Source organism: Homo sapiens, chromosome 13, assembly GCF_000001405.40.
Source record: "Homo sapiens chromosome 13, GRCh38.p14 Primary Assembly".
NCBI classification, from domain to species: Eukaryota; Metazoa; Chordata; class Mammalia; order Primates; family Hominidae; genus Homo; species Homo sapiens.
In genome coordinates this window covers 89,080,332-89,092,294 of record NC_000013.11, presented here as the reverse complement: position 1 = coordinate 89,092,294, position 11,963 = coordinate 89,080,332, and the positions used below count along the sequence as shown (strand labels likewise).

Here is an 11,963-nt window from a genome sequence, read left to right as displayed (position 1 = left end):
TTCCTACCCATGAGCATGGAATGTTCTTCCATTTGTTTGTATCCTCTTTTATTTCCTTGAGCAGTGGTTTGTAGTTCTCCTTGAAGAGGTCCTTCACATCCCTTGTAAGTTGGATTCCTAAGTATTTTATTATCTTTGAAGCAATTGTGAATGGGAGTTCACTCATGATTTGGCTCTCTGTTTGTTTGTTGTTGGTGTATAAGAATGCTTGTGATTTTTGTACATTGATTTTGTATCCTGAGACTTTGCTGAAGTTGCTTATCAGCCTAAGGAAATTTTGGGCTGAGACAATGGGGTTTTCTAGATATACAGTCATGTCGTCTGCAAACAGGGACAATTTGACTTCCTCTTTTCCTAATTGAATACCCTTTATTTCCTTCTCCTGCCTAATTGCCCTGGCCAGAAATTCCAACAATATGTTTAATAGGAGTGGTGAGAGAGGGCATCCCTGTCTTGTGCCAGTTTTCAAAGGGAATGCTTCCAGTTTTTGTCCATTCAGTATGATATTGGCTGTGGGTTTGTCATAGATAGCTCTTATTATTTTGAAATACGTCCCATCAATACCTAATTTATTGAGAGTTTTTAGCATGAAGCGTTGTTGAATTTTGTCAAAGGCTTTTTCTGCATCTATTGAGATAATCATGTGGTTTTTGTCTTTGGCTCTGTTTATATGCTGGATTACATTTATTGATTTGCGTATATTGAACGAGCCTTGCATCCCAGGGATGAAGCCCACTTGATCATGGTGGATAAGCTTTTTGATGTGCTGCTGGATTCGGTTTGCCAGTATTGTATTGAGGATTTTTGCATCAATGTTCATCAAGGATATTGGTCTAAAATTCTCTTTTTTGGTTGTGTCTCTGCCCGGCTTTGGTATCAGAATGATGCTGACCTCATAAAATGAGTTAGGGAGGATTCCCTCTTTTTCTATTGATTGGAATAGTTTCAGAAGGAATGGTACCAGTTCCTCCTTGTACCTCTGGTAGAATTCAGCTGTGAATCCATCTGGTCCTGGACTCATTTTGGTTGGTAAACTATTGATTATTGCCACAATTTCAGCTCCTGTTATTGGTCTATTCAGAGATTCAACTTCTTCCTGGTTTAGTCTTGGGAGAGTGTATGTGTCGAGGAATTTATCCATTTCTTCTAGATTTTCTAGTTTATTTGCATAGAGGTGTTTGTAGTATTCTCTGATGGTAGTTTGTATTTCTGTGGGATCGGTGGTGATATCCCCTTTATCATTTTTTATTGTGTCTATTTGATTCTTCTCTCTTTTTTTCTTTATTAGTCTTGCTAGCGGTCTATCAATTTTGTTGATCCTTTCAAAAAACCAGCTCCTGGATTCATTAATTTTTTGAAGGGTTTTTTGTGTCTCTATTTCCTTCAGTTCTGCTCTGATTTTAGTTATTTCTTGCCTTCTGCTAGCTTTTGAATGTGTTTGCTCTTACTTTTCTAGTTCTTTTAATTGTGATGTTAGGGTGTCAATTTTGGATCTTTCCTGCTTTCTCTTGTGGGCATTTAGTGCTATAAATTTCCCTCTACACACTGCTTTGAATGCATCCCAGAGATTCTGGTATGTTGTGTCTTTGTTCTCGTTGGTTTCAAAGAACATCTTTATTTCTGCCTTCATTTCGTTATGTATCCAGTAGTTATTCAGGAGCAGGTTGTTCAGTTTCCATGTAGTTGAGCGGTTTTGAGTGAGATTCTTAATCCTGAGTTCTAGTTTGATTGCACTGTGGTCTGAGAGATAGTTTGTTATAATCTCTGTTCTTTTACATTTGCTGAGGAGAGCTTTACTTCCAAGTATGTGGTCAATTTTGGAATAGGTATGGTGTGGTGCTGAAAAAAATGTATATTCTGTTGATTTGGGGTGGAGAGTTCTGTAGATGTCTATTAGGTCCGCTTGGTGCAGAGCTGAGTTCAATTCCTGGGTATCCTTATTGACTTTCTGTCTCGTTGATCTGTCTAATGTTGACAGTGGGGTGTTAAAGTCTCCCATTATTAATGTGTGGGAGTCTAAGTCTCTTTGTAGGTCACTCAGGACTTGTTTTATGAATCAGGGTGCTACTGTATTGGGTGCATACATATTTAGGATAGTTAGCTCTTCTTGTTGAATTGATCCCTTTACCATTATGTAATGGCCTTCTTTGTCTCTTTTGATCTTTGTTGGTTTAAAGTCTGTTTTATCAGAGACTAGGATTGCAACCCCTGCCTTTTTTTGTTTTCCATTTGCTTGGTAGATCTTCTTCCATCCTTTTATTTTTAGCCTATGTGTGTCTCTGCACGTGTGATGGGTTTCCTGAATACAGCACACTGATGGGTCTTGACTCTTTATCCAATTTGCCAGTCTGTATCTTTTAATTGGAGCATTTAGTCCATTTACATTTAAAGTTAATATTGTTATGTGTGAATCTGATCCTGTCATTATGATGTTAGCTGGTGATTTTGCTCGTTAGTTGATGCAGTTTCTTCCTAGTCTCGATGGTCTTTACATTTTGGCATGATTTTGCAGCGGCTGGTACCAGTTGTTCCTTTCCATGTTTAGCACTTCCTTCAGGAGCTCTTTTAGGGCAGGCCTGGTGGTGACAAAATCTCTCAGCATTTGCTTGTCTGTAAAGTATTTTATTTCTCCTTCGCTTATGAAGCTTAGTTTGGCTGGATATGAAATTCTGGGTTGAAAATTCTTTTCTTTAAGAATGTTGAATATTGGCCCCCACTCTCTTCTTGCTTGTAGGGTTTCTGCTGAGAGATCCGCTGTTAGTCTGATGGGCTTCCCTTTGAGGGTAACCCGACCTTTCTCTCTGGCTGTCCTTAACATTTTTTCCTTCATTTCAACTTTGGTGAATCTGACAATTATGTGTCTTGGAGTTGCTCTTCTCGAGGAGTATCTTTGTGGCGTTCTCTGTATTTCCTGAATCTGAACGTTGGCCTGCCTTGCTAGATTGGGGAAGTTCTCCTGGATAATATCCTTCAGAGTGTTTTCCAACTTGGTTCCATTCTCTCCATCACTTTCAGGTACACCAATCAGACGTAGATTTGGTCTTTTCACATAGTCCCATATTTCTTGGAGGCTTTGCTTATTTCTTTTTATTCTTTTTTCTCTAAACTTCCCTTCTCGCTTCATTTCATTCATTTCATCTTCCATTGCTGATACCCTTTCTTCCAGTTGATCGCATCCGCTCCTGAGGCTTCTGCATTCTTCATGTAGTTCTCGAGCCTTGGTTTTCAGCTCCATCAGCTCCTTTAAGCACTTCTCTGTATTGGTTATTCTAGTTATATATTCTTCTAAATTTTTTTCAAAGTTTTCAACTTCTTTGCCTTTGGTTTGAATGTCCTCCCGTAGCTCAGAGTAATTTGATCATCTGAAGCCTTCTTCTCTCAGCTCGTCAAAGTCATTCATTCTCCATCCAGCTTTGTTCCGTTGCTGGTGAGGAACTGCATTCCTTTGGAGGAGGAGAGGCCCTCTGCTTTTTAGAGTTTCCAGTTTTTCTGTTCTGTTTTTTCCCCATCTTTGTGGTTTTATCTACTTTTGGTCTTTGATGATGGTGATGTACAGATGGGTTTTTGGTGTGGATGTCCTTTCTGTTTGTTAGTTTTCCTTCTAACAGACAGGACCCTCAGCTGCAGGTCTGTTGGAATACCCTGCCGTGTGAGGTGTCAGTGTGCCCTTGCTGGGGGGTGCCTCCCAGTTAGGCTGCTCGGGGGTCAGGGGTCAGGGACCCACTTGAGGAGGCAGTCTGCCCATTCTCAGATCTCCAGCTTTGTGCTGGGAGAACCACTGCTCTCTTCAAAGCTGTCAGACAGGGACATTTAAGTCTGCAGAGGTTACTGCTGTCTTTTTGTTTGTCTGTGCCCTGCCCCCAGAGGTGGAGCCTACAGAGGCAGGCAGGCCTCCTTGAGCTGTGGTGGGCTCCACCCAGTTCGAGCTTCCCTGCTGCTTTGTTTACCTAAGCAAGCCTGGGCAGGGCAGGCGCCCCTCCCCCAGTCTGGCTGCCGCCTTGCAGTTTGATCTCAGACTGCTGTGCTAGCAATCAGCGAGAGTCCGTGGGCGTAGGACCCTCCGAGCCAGGTGTGGGATATAATCTCGTGGTGCGCCGTTTTTTAAGCCGGTCCGTAAAGCTCAATATTTGGGTGGGAGTGACCCGATTTTCCAGGTGCGTCCGTCACCCCTTTCTTTGACTCGGAAAGGGAACTCCCTGACCCCTTGCGCTTCCCAAGTGAGGCAGTGCCTCGCCCTGCTTCGCGCACGGTGCACGCACCCACTGACCTGCGCCCACTGTCTGGCACTCCCTAGTGAGATGAAACCGGTACCTCAGATGGAAATGCAGAAATCACCCGTCTTCTGCGTCGCTCACGCTGGGAGCTGTAGACCGGAGCTGTTCCTATTCGGCCATCTTGGCTCCTCCCTCAAATGACTATCTCTAATTTCTCATTTGGCTTGATATATCTGGAGCATTTAACATACTTGACCCATTTCTCCTTCTTGAAATGTTTATTCCATTGTGTTTTTTAATGCCATTTTTTTCTGTTTTTTTTTATCGTTATATTCTCTTCTTACCCACCCTAATTGTCCTTTCTTTTTTTGTGTGTCTTGTTTTCTATTGATTTCCTTAATAGACTAGTGTCTGAGAATTTTGTTTTATGCTTCTTCTTTTCAAAAAAAAGTTGGAGGAGCTTACATCATCTTTGATGTCTTTAATAACTTTTTTATAGTGAGCTTTTCATACATATATTTGCTTTCAAATCTCTTTCAAAATCTAAAACCATATATTTCACATCCTGTGCAATACATATTCATGGAAGTCTCAATGGCACCAAATCTCAGCATGTATAAAGTTATAAAGTGGACTTACCAATGTTGTCTTTACAGTGGCTCTTTCTCTAACATTTCTTTGTACAAGTCACCACCATCATTCTGGCTAACCAAAGAAGAAAAAAAGATATTAGGTTTTATTTATCATTCATACTCATTCCATTTGACTGCAAAATCTTCTTATTTAAGACTTTTTCTTTTCTTTTCTTTTTCTTTTTCTTTTCTTTTTTTTCTTTGAGATGGAGTCCTGCTCTGTCACCCAGGCTGGAGTGCAATGGTGCAATCTCAGCTTACTGCAACTTCTGACTACCGGGTTCAAGCAATTCTCTTCCCTCAGCCTCCTGAGTAGCTGGGATTACACGCCTGTCACCACGCCCGGCAAATTTTTTGTGTGTTTTTAGTAGAGACAGGGTTTTGCCACGTTGGTCAGGCTGGTCTTGAACTCCTGACCTCGGGTGATCTGCCCGCCTTGGCCTCCCAAAATGCTGTTTGGCTTGAGCCACCACGCCCAGCCAAAATCTTCCTATTTAAGACTTTTACATTAAGTTGGTTCTTTTTCATCCCAGGGGCCTATGATTTAATCTAGGACAGCTTCACCATCTGAGTAGGTTATTAAAATATCTTTATTACATTACAGTAGTAACTGATCTCCATTATTAAAGGGTTCTAAGCAAATTTTTCTGTCTTCCTGATGAATATTTCTGAAGCAAATATCTGATCAAATCCCATCCTTGATTAAAATATTTTAGCATTTCCTTGCTTACTCGAATACGAAAAGTAACTTTAATCCTGTAAGTTATTTTCCATATTGACCTAGTTATGAAGATGGTGTATCTGTTTTTTCTAGTACTCCTATTCTCTTAAATAAACAGATTTATCCTCTTGATCCCAATTTAATTAATATTTATTGGGAATAATTTTTTTATTTGTACTGAGAAAGACCAGATTTGTTTCACATCACACATACTCTTACTAGACTTCATATTCAATATGGTTGCTTTCTTATCCTAGTAGAAATCTTTCATTTAAAACTAGACACCCTGTCCCATTTATCTTTTTATTCCTGGAGCCTAGATGTTTGTTTGGCACATAATGAATGCCCCACATATTCTTGCATGATGAATGGTGTAAATCCTATCCATTGCATTGAGTTGTGCATACACACTAGTTAACCACAAAGGACACAACATTTAAAAATATATAGTCAAATTACATATAAATACACATACATATATATGTAAATCAAAAGATAATGAAGGAAGATACTAAACCAGTATTTTGTTTTACAATATATAATCAAAAAAGACAAAGCATAGCAATATATGTTAATTATTTTACCATGTGTATTATGGGCAAGTTTTATTTTAGGAAAACTATATTTTAAATAAAAGTACCAAATTTATAATTTTAGGGATATTGCTCTATTCTCTAGTGTATTTCACAAGTTAACCCGAGAGAATGTAATAAATTGATCATAAGGTATTTCGAAAGTTCCTCTCTTTTTTAAGGTTATACATGAGCATATTTAATTGTGTGTTTGTGATTATATTTAATCATGTGTGTCTGAGCAGATCAAATACATGCAGATTTATATCTTGCTTGAATAGTCAGAGAGTAGGGATGGGTGTTACTTTTGTTTAATAAAACAGAAATAACTCTCTAAGTATTATGGATTAACGGGATTTAATATTGAGGCTAAGAGGCTTACTAGCTCATTGAAAGGGCAAGATGAGCAAAGGACGAATTAACATTTGTCTGGAGCAGAATCCAGCACTCTCTAGTATGACAGAATATCATCTGCAGTGGAAAATCTCAGAAATTGCTGGAAAAACCACTTCATTCACTTGCCAATTCCCACATGCCTATTTGTCATTGTTCTCCTGAATTATAGAGCTTTATTTTCACCTTCCAAACATCCTGTGGTATTGCTGTCATCCTGTGAGTACTGCTCATTGGTGAATGTAACTCAGAAAGCCGATAGCAGTGATTCTCATAATATCAGTCCGTGTTTTCAGTACTTTCTAGAAAGGGAACAGTGTAGACAGAAAGAATCCCTGCTACCTACCAAAGACATTCAGATACAGTCAACCCTTTGAGTACTCAGTAACTCTTCATATGAAACTTCTACTAATGCTAGTTGCAACAGCAGCCATTCTGACTCAAATAATCCACCAATCCATTGAACAAAAAGATACATTCTCCCTTTTCCCACAACAAAGATCCAGTTCCCATTAATCTCTTTATCTACCTTATGATTTTTATTTCTTTTCAAGTATATATAGAATCCCTATTTAAGATTTTAACCGTAATGATTAGGACTTTATCTTGTAACTTGATATTTTATAACTAACCTAATGCAATGTACCTTATATAAAAGAATAAAAAAGTAGCAGTGGAAAACATGTCAGCTCATATATATAAATACAAATTGCAACAATTCATATGGGCATTCTTATCATTTTTTTCTCTCCTCTCTCCCTCCTTCTTCCTTCTCCTCCTTTTCATTTTCTCCTTCTCCTTTTTCTTCATCTTCTTTCTCTTCTTTTTCTTCTTCTTGTTTGTCTTCTTCCCCCTCTCTCTTTATTCTCTCCCCAACAGGATGTGTTCCTTGCCATCAGTCAACACCATTTATTTATATGGTATCTTACCTCGTGATGAAAGGTAAACCCTCATTCTTGTAAAGTCAGAACCATTAATACTCCTATTAGTATTTGTGGTACTAGTTAACTGTTGAAATTATACGTGGAAATACTGAAAGATATTACATGGAATCACTTAGATATTCAATGGTATTGCTCTTACCTCATTATGCAGCAGCAATGTCATAATATAAAGAATCTATTTGCCTTGTATAAGCAGAACCAGTCACTCTACTTTAGAAAAAATTCTTCATTGTGTGTCAAACAAGTGACATGAGAAGCTGAAATTGTCCATATGTCATCCTTTAACATCCAGTTCAATGGGACCAACGTTATATTCTACCAAGGTTACTCTTTCTTAAGCACTAATCTCTCTAATTCAGTTGAGTCTAAGAATTCGAGGAAGGAAAACAAATAAATTAAGTAATATTTTATTAAGTTTACTAAGAAAAATTCCCCAACCCTTTCATCCCAATTCTATTCTTTGCTTCATAGTCTAAGACATACTAACTATATTGGTCCCTTGTTCAAAGGACATACTGCATGTTATAATAAAACATACCAGCCTTAGAGGATATATTCTCCAAGCCAGTGGTATCATTATGTCATTCATAGGTCATTTCACAGTTCTATGTGTACAGTTGGGTTTGGCATATAATTAAGACTACGAATCCCAAAGATGTGATACTAGTTCTTTCATGAATAATTATGATGGCTGAAATACTGTGGGCAATGGTGGGAATTCATTTCCAACATAAGTACTTCTTCTATGGCAGAGAAAATACTGCCTTTTTCATGACATTAGGAATCCAATGTAATCTCCCCACTTCCAGGTAACTGGCATGTTTCTAGCATTTTTTAAAATTGTTGGCAGAGGTTGCACTCAGTAATTGTAAAAACTAGATCTGTTTATGAAAGTTTGTTGAAGCTATGTGTGAAAGGTTGTTGAACCCATGCATAACTCCCATCCCAGATACCATGATCTTACTTTTAATGGACCCATTTTGCAATGATCTAGAGTGAAACTCTGCTGTGTGCTGCCACTAAAACAAAAACGAAAATAAAAAATACACAAGCAAACAAACAAAACACTCAAAATACTTGTCTCTGCCTTAGTTTTCTGTCTGGTATAAAACACAGCATGAAATAAAAGGTTTGAGGTCATGTTAGGTTGTGTTATGCCAGTCATCAGGTTGAATACAACCCAAAGGCCTACTGAGTCTAAGGCTCCAAGGTTAGCAAAATAAGTATGTTTTGCCAGATGATGGCTGCTCATTTTGTAATATTAAGAGGAAGCAGCAAGCATTAGTTGACTTCAGTCAGAAGTTAGAAAAAAAGTGATAAGTCAAATATCAAAAGACTTTTGGTCTGGAAAACTAACTCTTCTAGCTCATATCGTACTAGAACTAGTACAACTGAAATATAAACCAAAGACTGAAATATAAACCAAATCAAACTCTGGCAAAAATCCCTTAAAACTAGACATTGTGTCAAAAAAGAAGATTATGTTAGGATGTTTCCTTTTAAATTCCCATAGAAAGACATGAAGATAGAACACACATTTTCCATAGAAGACAATCAATTTGGTGAGCATCAAATATGAATGCCTTGGAAGCTCATTCCCTTTCTCCCTTTTGTTGACTTAAATGAGACTAAGCCAGGATACAGAGACATTTAGCTGATGTCAGGCACAGCTGTTTCCAGGACCCTCACTGTGCAGACCTCATTACTTGGAGAAATTATGTGCCCTATCCCCTTTCAGGCTGACCCATAAATATGGAATGTGGTAAGGGAATGAGGTTCACTATCTTCCTTGGAATGTTCTTCGTAGCAAGTCCAGCCTGATAGCTGAAGTAGGTACCCTCTTTTGGAATCTTGAACATAGTGCAGTTAAATTGTCTAGGTCACCCTCTCCTGTGAAATAATGAGGGCTTGTGTGTCCCAATGGTCTCTTTTACTCTGCTGCTTGTAATTATTTCCCCAGCATCAACATTATGTGGTGCTAGTCATGTGAGTCCATGGCCTATTTCGCAATGCGGCAAAGAATTTCTCAGTTCTTTGCAAATAAAATCATTATTTTTTAGTTTCTTCCCCAATACCTAGTTTTCTTTCCATTTTATTAACCTTTCTTCTGGTTAGCCCACTGAATACTGGAATATCAGCAGCCATAACAAAAAATAAGGTGTTAGTGATTTCTTTAGTTGTGGTGACATGAATTCTTCAACACTTAACTAGATTACATGTATAAATGCACATAAACATTGAAATATGCTTATATATTCTTACTTTTACAGGATACATGATTTAATGCCAGGCAGATGGCTTATAATCTAGGTCATAGCACTTACTCATATTGTATGACTAGCTCATATTTCTCTCATGGGCATATTGGATTATGGCATTCTTTTTCTGGATCAATAATCTTAGTAAGTAGGTGCTTAACATTGTAGTAATTATAGTTAATATAAGAATTTATAGAAGGTCATGGGATGCTACAAGACAATCTATTTTTTGTTTGCAATTAAGAACCTATCATAATGTCCAAGATAGGGTAATCACGAGGTAAAGTTAACAATCGGATAAATAAAATAATGTTTACACATTTTATTTTTGAACTGTGCTGACTTTTGAGAATTGAAAAAGTAATGTATTTAATTACAGATTAACAGGACACTAAGGTAATATAAAATATCATATTAACTATTTAAAGCTTAGTGCATTTAGAAACTTGAAAACATTTCTGAATGATATGCCGTTAAGTTTCATTTAATAAAAAACATTTATGGAGAATAGAGGAGAACATCTTCAAACAACGATATTATATTTATTGTTAAGCTTTCAGTTTTATTTGGCTTAAAACATGGTCGGTTAAGAAGATATTAAAGAAAGTAGTAAGTAACACATGAAAGAAGCAGAATAAAGCATACACTAGCTTGGAAATTGGAGCAGGGAAATCTGATTTCAAGTATTTGTTCACTTATATTAATATGTATGACCTTAGGCATATTGCCTAACTTCATGAAAAGTCAGTGACCATATGACATAGTTTGACTTTGTCCCGACCCAAATCTCAACTTGAATTGTATCTCCCAGAATTGCCATCTGTTGTGTGAGGGACCCATGGGGAGGTAATTGAATCATGGGGGCCCGTCTTTCCAATGCTATTCTCCTGATAGTGAATAAAGCTCAGGAGATCTGATGGGCTTATCAGGAGTTTCTGCTTCTTCCTTGTTTTCTCTTCCTGACACCATGTAAGAAGTGCCTTTTGCCTCCCGCCATGATTCTGAGGCCTCCCCAGCCATGTGGAACTCTTTAAGTCCAATTAAACCTTTTTCTTGCCAGTCTCAGGTGTGTCTTTATGAGGAGCATGAAAATGGACTAATACACCACATCTGTAATATGGAGGTCTAAACACGCAACTCTTTTCTCATATGATTCAGAAGATGTGAAACATGAATGTGAAACTATTAACATGTCATGTAACACGTAGATAGTATATATACATGTTATTATATAATTATTATTATGAGATTATTATATAATTATCCAAGGATGTGAAAACAATTCTCAGACAAATGTACATATTCAAAAGATGGCATCACAGTTCTTCCAAAAATAAAAATCTAACTAAAAGGAGCATTTTGAAAGTAATTGTTAATTTCTTATTTCACTTTTTCTAAAAACTGACGGGAAAAAAAAAATATCAATTTGCATTAGTTTAAAAAGTCGAAATGGAGAATGGGTAAAGAGAGCACTATTCAGACTATAAAGCTAACTTTCTAAACATAGCAGTGAAAAAGCTAAAACTTTAACTAACAAAATAGGTAAAGATTGAAGCTTGTTTAAAAATATGTAAAATATAAAATTTTCTTAAAATTTATAAATTTAAATGGAAAATTTTAAATATATTAAATTTAAATAAATTTAGAAATATTTTAGATATAACGAATCCCAAATTCACTACACACACACACGCACACACATGCACACACACACAGAGAGAGAGAGTATATACACAGTGACAGGTACATTTGGAAAATCTATAATCATTATAGAAAGAAAATATTTGTATAAAATGTATATCTGAAGGAGAAAACTATGTAATACAAAGATTAATTTTATTTTTATTTAACTTAATAAATATTTTTATTTTTATTTTAATCTTTTCATATTCCAAAGGCTGTTGGGGTACAAGTCCAAAAGTATAGACACCATAAGATAATGGCATTACTAATGTAATGTGAAAATTACTATATTTATATACATAATAGTTTCAATGCATCAATAGAAACTTATTAACAATAAAATAAAATTAGTAATATAGCAACAGGTAGTTTTATAAAAAGTAATAAGTTAATTTCCACCATTCAATAAACCATACAAATATGCATTAGTGAAAAAATAAGTGCAGTGTATCTTTATAAAATAATGCTTGTGTGAGTGAACTTGATATCTGCTTTTCCTCCAATGCCAATCAACTTTTCTGTTGAGATTCAACTATATTCAGCATT

General features: G+C 36.7%; 1 long non-coding RNA gene across 1 annotated transcript in view; it reads right to left on the bottom strand.

The window, feature by feature from the left end:
* Positions 1 to 4,802: 4,802 nt before the first annotated feature.
* LOC105370307 (uncharacterized) overlaps positions 4,803 to 11,963 on the bottom strand; it is a 47,998-nt gene continuing 40,837 nt past the window's right edge. Inside the window, exon 3 of the long non-coding RNA XR_001749951.2 lies at positions 4,803 to 4,919. This is a non-coding gene — a long non-coding RNA (uncharacterized LOC105370307). The remainder of the gene's footprint in view (positions 4,920 to 11,963) is intronic.